The sequence below is a fragment of the Homo sapiens genome, chromosome 10 (genome assembly GCF_000001405.40).
Source record: "Homo sapiens chromosome 10, GRCh38.p14 Primary Assembly".
In the NCBI taxonomy this organism is placed as follows: domain Eukaryota; kingdom Metazoa; phylum Chordata; class Mammalia; order Primates; family Hominidae; genus Homo; species Homo sapiens.
This window is the reverse complement of record NC_000010.11, coordinates 73,832,097-73,846,406: the sequence shown is the minus strand read 5'-3', so window position 1 is coordinate 73,846,406 and position 14,310 is coordinate 73,832,097. Positions and strand designations below refer to the sequence as shown.

General features: G+C 50.4%; 1 protein-coding gene across 78 annotated transcripts in view; it reads left to right on the top strand.

Moving 5' to 3' along the window:
- CAMK2G (calcium/calmodulin dependent protein kinase II gamma) overlaps nt 1-14,310 on the top strand; it is a 62,055-nt gene that overhangs the window by 28,149 nt on the left and 19,596 nt on the right. For 47 of the 78 annotated variants that reach the window (NR_160047.1, NR_160045.1, XR_007061995.1 and 44 more), the window contains 3 exons: nt 3,866-3,949; nt 4,196-4,238; nt 8,896-8,939. Coding sequence is in view for 56 of the 78 variants with exons in the window: in XM_047425803.1 (XP_047281759.1) it covers nt 3,866-3,949; nt 4,196-4,238; nt 8,896-8,939 (171 nt within the window). In the remaining 22 variants the exon portion in view is untranslated. Of the gene's footprint in view, nt 1-3,865; nt 3,950-4,195; nt 4,239-6,805; nt 6,869-8,895; nt 8,940-14,310 lie in introns of all 78 variants that reach the window. The other 31 variants (NR_160044.1, XR_007061994.1, XR_001747218.2 and 28 more) reach the window with 1 other exon arrangement.

The following is a 14,310-nucleotide window of genomic DNA, read 5'->3' as shown; positions in this document are numbered from 1 at the left end:
TGAAGGCTGCACGGAGGAGGTGACACCCCTGTGCTTGTTCTTGGCAAATAACGAGGTCCTCAGAACGTTAACCTGCAGACAGAGTTTAGCACAGTGAGAGGTTATGGGAAACTATGGTGAGTTGAAGGAATGTTGAGTTGTTTGGTTGTCGATGAGGCTGCAAATATCAGAATGCAAGAGAATGGGGCAAAAGATTCCCTGACATACAAGTTTCTGCCTCAGGAGTTTGGATTTTATTCTGAAAACATAGGGAATCATTTAAGGGTTTTAAAGAAGAATGAAATTTGCATTTAAGAACACTTTGGAAGTTGTGAGGAAATGAATTGCCAGGCATGGTGGCATGTGCCTGTAGTCTCAGCTGCTGGGGATGCTGAGGCAGGAGGATCATAAGCCCAGGAGTTTGAGGCTGCAGCGAGCTATGATTGCACCTGTGAATAGTCATTGTACTCCAGCCTGGGAAAGATGGTCAGACCCCACCTCTTTAAAAAAAAAAAAAAAAAAAGAAGGGAATTGAAAATTTTTAAAAGAAAAGGGCTGGAGACAGAGAGCTCAGGAAGCTTTTTTAATAGTTGGAATAGTCTAAGCAAGACCAGGTGAGGTCTCAGCAGAGGGTAAGGATGGGGGAATGTGCAGTGTGTTGAAATTCAAGAGATATTTGAGAGAACCTAAAGGATTTAATTCTCTCCAGTTGGATTTGGGGGGAGCAAAGAAGAGAGAGGCCAGGTTTCAAGTTGAGCGGAGAGTTGTACCCTCACTGACCCAGAAGAAAACCAGAGGAGGAGCTTGTTTGTGAGACAAGACGATGGTTTTCTCTTTTTTTTTTTTTTTTTGAGATGGAGTCTCGCTCTGTCGCCCAGGCTGGAGTGCAGTGGCGCGGTCTCACTGCAAGCTCTGCCTCCCGGGTTCATGCCATTCTCCTGCCTCAGCCTCCCGAGTAGCTGGGACTACAGGTGCCCGCCACCACGCCCGGCTAATTTTTTGTATTTTTAGTAGAGATGGGGTTTCACCGTGTTAGTCAGGATGGTTTCGATCTCCTGATCTCATGATCCACCCGCCTCGGCTTCCCAAAGTGCTGAGATTACAGGCATGAGCCACTGCGCCCGGCCAAGATGATGGTTTTCATTTTGTGCCTGCTGAGTCTGGCAACCTCCAGCCAGACACATTCAGTGGGTGGTTAGAAATATGGTCCTAGAGATTAGAAAAGAAGCTAAAAATTGGAAATCCACATTGTAGTCATTTCTGTGTAGTTGGTAGTGAGGCTGTAGAAATAGCCTCTTCCTATGCTGTAGATGGGCCTGTTCCTATGCTGGTTGAGTTCTTACGGTGAGCTTCTATTGGCTGTAGTAGAGAAGAGACGGCCACTACACACCAGCATTTAATGATAGGGAGAGTTAGGGGGCCCAGCAAAGAGCACTGAGAGTGAGACCTTCCAGAAGACCCAGAAGCTAAGAAACAGGGGGTCTCAGTAAGGGAGCGTCAGGAATCAGATGCAGAAGAGTCCCTGATTAAGTTGGGGAAGAATCCCCTGGCTCTGACCATTAGATGCCATTGTTTCATCATTTCACTGAGACAGTGGAGAGAAAGATGAAACCCTGTTTTCAGTGAGACGAAGAGGGAGTGAGGGTGAGGAGGGGCATGGGGAGCTAGGCATTGAGGTGGGAAATAAATGGTGATACTTAGATTAAGATGGGCCAGGGGAGCTTTTAATGTAAGGCTCACACCTGTAATCCCAGCACTTTGGGAGACCAAGGCAGGCGATCACTTGAGGCCACGAGTTCAAGACCAGCCTGGCCAACATAGTGAAACTCCATCTCTACTAAAAATACAAAAAATTAGCTGGGTATGTTGGTACACACCTATAATCCCAGCTACTTGGGAGGCTGAGGCATGAGAATCACTAGAACCCAGGAGGTGGAGGTTGCAGTGAGCCAAGATAATGACACTGCATTCCAGCCTGGGTGACAGAGGGAGACTCTGCCTCTAAAGAAGAAAAAATTTCTTTTTAAAGATTATATTGGTCAGGAGCGGTGGCTCACACCTGTAGTCCCAGCACTTTGGGAGACCAGGGTAGGTAGATCACTTGAGCCCGGAAGTTTGAGACCAGCCTGGGCAACATGGCAAAACCCCATCTCTACAAAAAAAAAAACTTTAAAAATTAGCTGGTTGTGGTAACGTGCCTTAGCTACTTGGGAGGCTGAGATGAGAGGATCACCTGAGCCTAGAGAGGTGGAGGTTGCAGTAAGCCATTATTGTGCTACTGCACTCCAGCCTGGGCAACAGAGTGAGATGCTGTTTCAAAAAAAAAAAAAAATTTTTTTGTTTAAGGAGAGGCTTAACTATAATCTATAGAGAAGAATCTAGTCCAGAGGAAAGAGTTGAAGATCCTTGCTAATTGAGGAAGCAAAGGTTTGGACAGCAGAAAAAGAGAGGGGGCTCCTGAGCCAAGGGCAGGGGGTCCATCCCGGGGATGACCATGATCCCCCTGAGACTTCTATTAGTGTGGAGGCAGGTGAAGATCGGCTTGTGAGTGGAAGTCTGAGCTGAAAGGGGTTCTTGCTGATGACCTCTCATTTTGCTTTTGGAGAAATTTACACCGAGGAGGAGGTAAAATGAGAGACTTGGGGAAGGTAGAGAAGGTGGGGAGAGTTGCCTCCGGACCTGGAAAGAGTGGGCCAAGGGTGAGGGAAAGGATGCGAGGAGGCCCCGTAGTGTTGGTGGGCACCTGGCTGCAGGTGCCAGGATTTGTTTTTCTGACAGGCTGGTGAAGACAGCAACAGCAAGGGGAGAGGGCAAGCAACCTGAAACAGGCACCCAAGAATGGGGGAAATATTCTGTTCTGGGGTCATTTTTGCAGGCCCTACCCTCTGCAGTCCCGTGTGTCTCGAGCCCCTGAGGACATCACTATATTCTGAAATTACATAATGATGCTGGTATTGACAGCTGAGTCATTGAGGAAGTGTAGACTGTGTCCCATGGACTCTGTTTAAGGAGGCCAGGAAGTTAGCAGTAAATACATTGAAGACAAATTTCCATCCAAAAAAGGCGGGGCACAGTGGCTCACACCTGTTATCCCAGGACTCTGGGAGGCCGAAGTGAGCAGATCACTTGAGGTCAGGAGTTCGAGACCACCAGCCTGGCCAACATGGCCAACCCTGTCTCTACTAAAAATACAAAAATTAGCTGGGTGTGGTGGGATGTGCCTGTAGTCCCAGCTACTCGGGAGGCCAAGACAGGAGAACCTGAGAGGCGGAGGCTACGGTGAGCCGAGATTGCACCACTGCACTCCAGCCTGACTGACAAAGCGAGACTCCATTGCAAAAAAAAAAAAAAATTACATCCAGAATGATGAAAAGAATTGATGCTTCAAGGTGACGATCCTTAGCTTCTGGGATCATGGCTTCATTCAGGACCTTGCTGGGGGTGTGTGGAGAGGGGCTCTTGGAAGGAAGGAATGTCCTCTGTAGAGAGCAGGAACCCTGCCGTTCTCTCGCTGCTGAGCATCTGGAACGCAGTAGGTGCTCAGTAAACAGCTGCCTAAGGAGTGACTGAATGAGGATCACAGCCCCCAGGGTACTCTCCTGTTCGGTAGCCTCTGTTTCCCAAGGAAGAATAGGACGGTCTCTCAGCAGCCCGTCTAGCATCCGTTATGGTGTTCTCACGTTCATGTTGTCCTTATGTAACCTTGAGTTTCGGGTAGTGCTTTTATTCTAAAAGCGTTTTCACATCTGTGACCTCATTTCATCTTCAGAGCAACTCTGGGGTGGCTGAGTGCATGACCCTGTCCTGGGCATGGTATCGGTGCCAGGACTGTGGGAGGCGCAGAGGATCTGGGCTGGGGCTCATAGCCTGTCTGTTTGGTTTCTAGCAACGATCCACGGTGGCATCCATGATGCATCGTCAGGAGACTGTGGAGTGTTTGCGCAAGTTCAATGCCCGGAGAAAACTGAAGGTGAGTGTCGTTTCTAGGCTGCCAGCCTCCTTGACATCATGCCTTGCACCAGTGTGGCTCCTGCCCCATTTCAGAAGGAAGCTCCCCTCCTGGCTGGAGCTGGGCTCTGAAGGTTGTACATGTCACAGGGGAGGGGGCCCAGAGGCCTGATGTCTTCAGGCTCTAGCCAGGACCTGCCTTTGCCTGAGACCAGCCTGCCCTTTTCTAGGGTCTCAGTGAATTCACAGGACCTTCCTCTTTCCCCAGGGTGCCATCCTCACGACCATGCTTGTCTCCAGGAACTTCTCAGGTATGTTTTCCCAGCTGTGTACTTTGATTATGCCGAGGTGAGTGGATCAGGAATGGGCTGTTGCCATCCCGGGCACCGCTGGGTTTCCTCGGCGTCCTGGGCCACACCTTGACCAGGGCGAGTGAGGATCCTGTTTTGAGGGGCTGCTGCTGCTGCTGAGTCCTGCTCCTGAGATTCAGGGGGCTGGACTCACATTTGTGAATTGTTTCCTAGAACTTCCCAAGGAGTAGCCTGCCCAACTTGCTATGTACCTTGTTTCTCTGGATTCTTATTTAACTCTCTGAAGACTCTCAGCACTTTACAGATTTTAGCCATTCTAGGATCTTGGAGGATGTGCTGGGGGAAGAAAAGAGAGATGAGGTACAGTGAGTCTTCTCAATTGCCAAATTGCCACCATTCATTTGCCTGCTGGGACGATCTCTTACTTCATTTTGTCCAAGTGGAGATGACTAATAGAAATTATTCCAGATGTTTAAACCTTTTGTGGCGACTTGTGCTTAAAATAGTCCCTGAGATACTAGCTATAACAGTGAAGAAATAAAGACCAGCAGGAGAGAGGGAAAGGAACTTGCTTAAATTTGCATAAAGAATTGGGAGAGGTGGGACCAATAATTTGTAAATCATACTTGACATTTATTTTTAAGATGCAAGACACTCCACTCCCCTCTTGCCCCCACCCTCACCCCAACCCCTATTATTGTTTGCCTTCAATTGGGAAGCACAGTGGCTTTTTTGTGAGGAAAAGATTAATGTCGAGACTGAAGACAGAGAGGGCTCTGCCCAGCTTGCCATCTCCCCCGGTCCTCCCTCCCTCTAACCCCTTGCCTCACTGTTTTGGTTCAAGACCCCCCCTTCTCCTTCCCATAATAAGACTCCCTCCCTTGCTTCCCCTCTGCACCACCATGGAAAGGGGGTTGTGTGGGAGCCTAAGCCACCACTCAGTGGGAGCCACTTCTGAATACCCGTCCTGCTGGGCTCGCCTGCGCTGGCTCCAGGTAACGCCAGGGCCTTGGCTGTGAGGATGCTGCAGGCAGGGAGCCTAGGGCTTCGTGGTGTAGCCTGAGAGCCATGGAGCTCCGGAAGGCCAGGGCTGGATAGTGAGCCCGGGGCTGGTGGTGCCCTGCCCTAGGCCTTCTCCTTTGACCCTGGTTTGGGGCTTGATCTTGTGTCATGGGTACCCACGACGGGCATACTGTGGTGTGGCTCCACCTCTCGCAGATGGGAACAGGGAAGCGTGGCTGGCTGCCTCCGGTGGAGTTGCAACTGTAGTCCCACACTTGCTTCTTGTGCTTTAATGACGCAGCTTCTACTTTTTGGGTCTACGAGCCTTTCCAGAGGACATTGAAGGGCGTTTCGGTGTTGCCCCTAGAGCGAAGCTCTGTCCTCTCTCCCCTCTGAGTTGAAGAAATGTGAAGACAGTCTGCTGCTTCTCTTTTAGCCCAGCCAGTCAATAGCAAGGGCCCTGTCTTGCAGCCCCGGGCCTCCACATCAGCCTCCCCCTCCATTTCAGGAAACTGGCATCCTGGTTTCAGGAAATCGGGTGTTAGGACAAAGCATTTTATTCATCCCTGTAGAGCCTCCTGTTCTTATTGGCCAGACCTAGACTGGCCTTTGAGCTCACTTTGCCTTGGGTCAGAGGAGACAAACAATGTTGCAAGCATTCCAGGATGGCCTCTTCTGCCCTGACTCTGGGACAGGTGAGGACAGAGTCTGTCCGGAAGCTTCTGCAGAAAGAGGTGTCTATGGATGCAATCAAGAAGGAAGGGCACCTGTGTGTTTCTCTAGGGCTGTTTTTTGAGTTGACCTCCAATAGGAGATGTGGCTTATCCTGGACTCTAGCAGTTTGGCTAACAGCGAATCGGGGCCTCCAGAGTGTATTGCTTCAGCAGCCTTTGTTTTCTTTCTCAGGGTTTATTTCTTGGGCACCTTTCACCTCAGCACACTGTGACACACAGACTGAGAATGCTGCCTCTCTCGGCTACCTCCCTTAAGACAGGGACCTGTGTCTCTGAGGGGTTGGGGGGCATGGAGCTGGGGCCCACCAGTAAACTTAGCTGCACAAGGGCCACAGACCCTCCCTGGGACCCCCACGCCAGTCCCTCTAGTGTGTGGGATGTAGAGAGGGGAGAGGGCTGCTCTGCGCCCCCGGCACTCTCATCGTGGGCTCATTTAGCTTCTAGGGAGGGAAGGACTAGAAGGGAGGGCGTTTCATCACAGCCTTAAGCTAGGGCCGGGCTACCTCAGAAGGGGCACCTGCCTCTCACCGGCTCAGGCATTTCGCTGTGGACCCTCCTCCGGAGGGGGTCATGAGACAGGCACTGCAGCCCTCTCCATCTGGTGGGGACGCAGTGTTCCCTATGCCCTGGCCCAGCCCGGTCTTCCCAGGCCCCCAGACTGCTGCAGGGCTGGCTGCGCCTACCTCCTCAGCCTGCCCCTGGCGCTCCGCTCCCCCAGCTCGGCTGGCTTGGCCACGCCGCCTGGGCTGCGCCTCGCGCTGGGGCATGCTCGCTGCTGACGGCCCCGTGGCTTTGCGGGGCTCTGTGCACTGAGAGACTGTATCCCCTCAGTTGGCAGGCAGAGCTCCGCCCCCGCCTCGCCTGCCGCGAGCGCCGCCGGCCTGGCCGGGCAAGGTACGTGGCATGAGTCCTCCCCGACCGCCTGCCTCGGCCCCCTGCCACCCCACCAGGAGGGCCAGCATGCCGGGCCCACTCACCAGGGAGGCGAGTCCCATGCTTGCGGGCTGAGATGGGCATGCCAGACAGACTACCTAACTTGGCATCTGCAAGCGCATCGTTGTTATGGAGCCCCCTAACCAGCCATGCATGCTGGGCGCTTGCCAACTTTCAGGGGGCAGTAGCCTGGGGGCATGGAGCTGGGCAGCGGGAGCCTTGCCAAGAGCCCGATGCCCTGGGAGGGCTGCAGCCAACAGTGGGCCCTCAGAGACAGTGCTGGGCATTGCCCTGAGCTGCCCGGTGCTAGGACTAGATTTCCGCAGCACTGTTTAAGACCCCACAGAGGAGCCGCGCTCCTCAAAATTGTGAAGTCTGGCGCTTGCTGGCCTCCAGGTCTGAAAGGCTCCAGAGTGCAGAAGCCTCAGAGCCAGCTGTTTCTGGGTTCACATCCTAGCCCTGCCACACCCTGAGCGAGTCACACCAGCTCTCCCAGCCTTAATTCCTCACCTCTCCAATGGGGATGATAAATAACATGGTGGTGCTTAAGATCACCCTGTCGAAGGCTCTCAGCCCTGCCTGTGCAGTACAGCTGTTACCTGGGAGCTCGTAAGAAGTCCTAATGCCAGGACCCCACCCCAGACAATAAAATCAGACCCTTAGGGATAAGATAGGTAGTACGCTTTTTTTAAGCTCCCAGGTGATCCTAGTGGGCAACCAGCGTTGAGAGCTGGCTGGTGAATGGAAAGCACTTAGACAGTAGGCGGTCAGGCACAGGAGTCAGCACATTTAAAAAACAACATTCAAACCCAGCACGACAAGATAAGATCAAAGGTCTTTTTCTGGAGTCAGAATTCTCGTAATGGAAGGACCCCTGTTCTCACTGGAGAGAGATGGAACACAGCTTGGGGAGGAATGGCTACCCAAAGGGCAGGAGGGTGGCAGCAATAGTGACAACGATGGTGGACACTTACTCAGTACTTGCTATATGCCAGGCACTCTAAGTGCTTTTCATGCATAATCCCACTGGATTCCCACCACTGTTTTGTGATGTCAGCCCTACTTTATCCCATTTTATAGATAAAGAAATTGAGGCTCAGAGAGGTTAAGTAACTCACCAAAGGTCACACAGCTGGCAAGTGGTGGAACCAAGATACAGACCCAGGGCAGGCAGTCCAGGTGTATCAGACAGTTGGGCTGATTCCATCTCCCTGTGCCTCCCAGACTCTCCTCCCCACTGTCTGCTACCTTCCTGTGGCCTTTTGTGGCCAGCTGGTGTCACCAGCCTTCTGGCACAGAGCTCATCAGCCTGGAGCGTCACCCTATGCCTGGCTAGAATCTGTTTGACAGCTCATTATTCTGCCGAGTCCTTCCTGCTCACAGGTCCAGAGAGTGGACACTGGGGAAAGGGTGGCAGCTAGGACCCAGTGAACCTGGTGAGGACCTGCTCAGTGAAGGCTTCAACCCCCTGGCAAAACCCTCCTGTAGGTGGTCCTGGTTTCTGTGTCTGTGTCTGTCTGTCCTCTGGTCTCCTGTGTGAACTGTGACACTCTGCTTCTTGAGAACACTCAGGAGATGTCTTGCATCCTTGCAGTTTGGCCATCCAGAGAACTTCCATGGCACCTAGGGATGGAGCCCTCACTCTTTCACCCTGGCACTCTGCTTCCAGGCCTGGGTGGAAGCTGTCAAAGGCAGAGTCCCCAGTGCCCCAGGCGGCTCCAGTACTGAGCATGGTTTCTCCTCTAAGTGTCGTGCATCCATGCCCTCCTCCACGCAGAGGAGATCCTGAGGTGCCACCCTGAGGGCTCTGACGCCACTCAAGATCCCCTTCTTGCTGAGAGGCTATAGGAAGTGCCTCTTTTGGGGGTTTCGGGAGACCCTTGGCCCCCTTGTCAGACACAGCACTCTCTTGTGGATCTGGCTGCCGGACTTCAGGTTGGGGAGAGGGTACAATGCAGGAGACTTGATATTCCTCTTTGTTTTCACAGCTGCCAAAAGCCTATTGAACAAGAAGTCGGATGGCGGTGTCAAGGTAAGTGTCTCCAGCCTCTGAACAGACTGGCCTCTTTCTCCCCGCAGTCACTATGGGAATTCTTGGCACCTGGTTCCCCCTTTCCCAGGGAATCTTCCTATCCTTGCTAGTCTGCTTTAAACCAGATGCCTTTGTGCTCAGAACAGAAGGTTCTGCTGGCCTGAGAGGGAAGTAGGGAGGTATTTTTCCTGGCCCTAGCTGGATGGGAATGACTCAGGGGAAGTGATCCAAATCATAGTTTATACCAGAGCTGAATCCGGAACCTGACTTCTACACGGATGCTTCATCTCCAGGGCTTGACTCTGGGTTTTTTAGGTCATTTGGTTATCTTTCTTTTTTTCCTTTTTAGAGCACAAATCCTTTTAATCAAATGAAAGCCAAATTTGCCTGAGTGATTCAGGCAGGGTATAGGGCTTGGAACCTGAAACCACTCTCCTTTTGGTCTTTTTCCTTCTCTCTACAACACTTTCAGATCCCACTGAGTGCAACAGCCTCGAGCTTTCTTGACGCATAGGCTCCTCAGAAAAAGGCAAAGGCCATGGTGGATCACGGCTTGTTCCCACTGGGTGAGGGAGCTTTTCCCATGGGACTGGGGCAAGAGGAGGGACCTGGGACCCACCAGGAGCCCTGCTGGGAATGGCTGCTTGGCCAAGGTAGAGGAGAGGTGACTGGGGCTACCCACAGGGCCCAAGACATTCTGTAGATGCTTTGGGGGCAGAAAGGATCCTGGGGCTAGGGCATTGGGTAGGAGCTCATGCTATCTTGAAGCCTCCCAGCTTACACTCTAGACTAGATTTTCACTGGGCCTTTTCCCAAGATCTTGTGTCAACAGCTGAGATACACACACAAGCCCCGTTCCCTCCCCGTTCCCTCCCCACTCCCTCCTCTTTCCCTCATTCTCTGCATGCCTGCTTCTGTGTTCTTCCGCCCCTCGCAGGGGAGCCTGGGCTCCGCGCACACCCTCTGACATGGAGCTGGGGGCATCGTGCGGTCCCCAAGCTCTGCCCCTGAGCTACATGGATGGAGCCAGGTGAGGAAAAGGGGCAGGTTTAGTTGGAGAGAGTGTTTAATAAGTACCTGTCAGTCAGATGTCCACGCAGCATTCTGTTCTGAGGGGTACACAACAGAGGTGTAAGAGGGGGTGTGGCTTTCAGTCGCCATAGGAAGGGGGCCGCACCTGGAGTCAGCTGAGCGCTGCTAGTGGACCCACGCGAGATGGTTTAGTCCAGGAAGCTCATAGGAGAGAGCGTACTGGAGAAAGCTGCAGGGACATAGGTGAGACTCACTTTGCAGTTTTACTTTCTGCTATATGTTTTCTTTAAATTGAAAATATGGGTCAGGCTTGGTGGCTCACTCCTGTAATCCCAGCACTTTGGGAGGCTAAGGCGGGTGGATCACCTGGGGTCAGGAATTCAAGACCAGCCTGGCCAACCTGGTGAAACTCCGTCTCTACAAAAATACAAAAATTAGCCAGTCATAATGACCGGTGCCTGTAATCCCAGCCACTCGGGAGTCTGAGGCAGGAGAATGGCTTGAACCTGGGAGGCGGAGGTTGCAGTGAGCCAAGATTGCGCCATTGCACTCCAGCCTGGGCGACAGAGCAAGACTCCGTCTGAAAATAAAGAAAAGAGAAAAGAAAACAACATGACATTTCTATAACTTAAAAACAACAAATTATATTTGTATGGGTTCTCTTATACATATTGATGTTCTCTGCCCAGTGAGAACACAGGGTGTGTGGTAGATTGATGTCAAAAATATGGTTGGATCAGTCTTATCAGGCAGAATTGGAAGTTTCTGTGTCAGACCATGGGAAATACCATAGGCCATTGAGCAGGGAAGCTATGGTGAGAGTGCTGATAGAAATGATTTGGCAAGCCGGGTGCGGTGGCTTCACTCCTGTAATCCCAGCATTTTGGGATGCTGAGGCAAGAAGATTGCTTGAGTCCAGGAGTTTGAGACCAGCCTGGGCAAAACCTTGTCTGTGAAAAAAAAAAAAAAAAATTAACTGGGCATAGTGGTGTGCATCTGTAGTCACAGCTACTTGGGAGGCTGAGGTAAGAGAATTGCCTAAGCCCAGGGAGTTTGAGCCTGAGGTGAGCCAAGATCAAGCCACTGCACTCTCCAGCCTGGGTGACAGTGAAACCCTGCCTCAAAAAAAAAAAAAAGATACCTGCTGTGCCCCTAGAAGTTGGGAAGGCAAAACTTAATCTACCTTTTAAGGTGTTTACAGTGGGAGAGACACAAGGCAGCTACTGTTTCTATGGAGTCTGCTAAGGTCTCAGGGAGGTGTGCACCTGGCAGGTGCTGGGGGAGCAGACAGATAAACATCCAAACCAGGACAGGAATCTTCTGGAAGGAGATGGCCAGGAATTGAGCTTGAGGGAGTAGCTGGATTTTGCTGGGTTAAGGAGGAGACAGGAGGGGAGGGATATTCCAGGCAGAGGGAAGAGCGCATGTGAAGATACACGAGGTTGAAACAGCATGATGATTCTGGGAACTTCAGTATCTTCTTTATGGCTGAAGGGAAGAGCAATTGCATAAAATGAGACCTGAAATAAAGCAGTGACTGTTGAGGTGGAGGGGAGAGGATGGAAAAGGCACCATTACAGAACAGGTTTCTAGCCAAACTTTCTAGATACTACTGGTGTCAAAGATGAAGGTCATGTGCAGCCATGTAAGATTAGCCCAAGGAGCCAGCTCAAACCATGCACATCCAGGGCCCAGCTTGGAATTCATGTTCTGGAGGCCTTGGCTGGGAGGCAGAATCTGTGAATTTTAAAAACACTTTCATGAATCCAAAGCACATGAAGGTTTAAGAGTCTGGTAAAGGCAAAATTTTGGGGTTATGTGTTAAGAAAGGGCTGGAACAAGAGTCGGCAAAGGAAACAGAGGAAGGACAGAGAGGTAGGGGGAAAAGAGAAATGTGCAGCAGCTGCAGCTCTTCCAGGAACCCTGAGGATGAGGGCTGGGCAGACACATCATTAGGTAAAGGCTTTAAATGAGGACGTGCGTGGGGAACCTAGCCCTGCAATGTGTTGTGTGTCTGACCCTGATATGTGCTCAGTAAATGAGTTTTATGCCACATTCTTTTGAGAAAAGAGCTTCAATATCATGGTGGGAACCAGAGGCCAATGATCACCCAAAATTAAAAGGCCAACCGCGTATTCGCAGCCGTTGTGATGGGAGGGGTTAATATTTTTATTGAAAGAGTTTCTGTGACAAATAATCCCTCTTAAAACCCAGTAGAAGCTGGGCGTGGTGGCTCACGCCTGTAATCCCAGCACTTTGGGAGGCCGAGGCGGGTGGATCACGAGGTCAGGAGATCGAGACCATCCTGGCTAACACGGTGAAACCCCATCTCTACTGAAAATACAAAAAATTAGCCGGGCGTGGTGGCAGGCGCCTGTAGTCCCAGCTACTTGGGAGGTTGAGGCAGGAGAATGGCGTGAACCCGGGAGGCGGAGCTTGCAGTGAGCTGAGATTGTGCCACTGCACTCCATCCTGGGTGACAGAGCAAGACTCCGTCTCAAAAAAAAAAAAAAAAAAAAAAAAAAACCCAGTAGATAGGCTAGGTGTGGTGGCTCACATCTGTAATCCCAGCACTTTGGGATGCTGAGGTGGGCTGATCACTTGAGGCCAGGAGTTCGAGACCAGCCTGGCCAACATGGTGAAACCCCCTCTCTACTAAAAATACAAAAAGTAGCCAGTAGTGGTGGTGCACGCCTGTAGTCCCAGCTACTCGGGAGGCTGAGATAGGAGAATCACTTGAACCTTGCGGGGGGCAGAGGTTGCCGTGAGCTGGGATTACACCACTGCACTCCAGCCTGGGGGACAGAGCAAGACTCTGTCTCAAAAAAAAAAAAAGGAAGATAGATGATCAAAGAAAATAAACTGACAACCTGAAAACAAGGAAGTAGAACTGGATAACAAATGTGGAAAAATTTCTAGCCTCACTAGTATCAGAGAAATGCAAATTGAAACAAGGTGCCATTTTTGGACTCTAGTTAGTGATGGTAGTGAAAACCAGAATGGTCCTTTCTAAAACAGCCTGTGTGTCAAAACCATAAAAATGCTTCTACCTCTTTTTACCCTGTTAATTCTACTTCTGAGAGTTTTTCCTAAAGAAATAATTCAAAATAGGAAAAAGCTAAAAGCAGAAAAATGTTGAACATGACATTATTTATAGCTGTGGAAAGATTGGAGGCTGGGCACAGTGGCTTATGCTTGTAATCTCAGCACTTTGTGAGGCCAAGTTGGGAGGATTGCTTGAACCCAAGAGCTTGAGACCAGCCTGGGAAACGTAGTGAGACCCCATCTCTTAAAAAAAAAAAAAAAAATTAGCTGAGTGTGGTGGAACGTGCCTGTAGTCCCAGCTACTTGGGAGGCTGAGGTGGGAGGATTGCTTGAGCCCAGGAGGCTGAGGTTACAGCCAGGATCACACCACTGCGCTCCAGCCTGGGTGACAGAGTGAGGCTCTGTTTAAAAAAAAAAAAAAAAGAGAGAGAAGAAAAAAAAGATTGGAGACAATTTGAAAAGCCAGTAAGGAGCCAGACACAGTGGTGCGTACCTATAGTCCCAGCTACTCAGGAGGCTGTCGCAGGACAGAATTGCTTGAGCCCAGGAATTCGAGGCCAGCTGGGCAACATAGTGAGACCCCCAACTCTTAAAAATGTTTTTAAATTTAAAAATAAAAAGATTTTTTAAAAGCCAGTAAATGACTAAATAATTATGGGAAATCTACTTAATAAACTATTCAAAAGTTATTAATTTTCATGACCGTAGGGATATTTTAAGTGAAAAATAAAGTGCAGAAATGTTTTATATTAAGTGAAGGAAGTGGTATATAAAGGAGTACAGACAAGCCAGGCACGGTGGCTCACGCCTGTAATCCCAGCACTTTGGGAGCCCGAGGCAGACAGATCACGAGGTCAGGAGATCGAGACCAGCCTGGCCAACATGGTGAAACCCCGTCTTTACTAAAAATACAAAAATTAGCTGGGCGTGGTGGTGCGTGCCTGTAATCCCAGCCACTTGGAAGGCTGAGGCAGGAGAATCGTTTGAACTAGGGAGTCGGAGGTTGCGGTGAGCCAAGTGCGCCACTGCACTCCAGCCTGGTGACAGAGCAAGATTCTGTCTCAAAAAATAAAAAAAAAAAGGAGTACATACACTATCATTCTAAATTTGGTTTGAAGAAACGTGTTTGTAGATATTTATTCAGTATATAATATGTGGATAAAAAAGGGACTGGAAGAAAGCCCACTGAAGTGTCAACAGTAACTTCACCAGGTGATGGGAATTTGAGAAACTTTTTTTCTTACACATTTTTCTGTATTCTATATTTTTCATCTAGATTGTGCACTACTGTTAT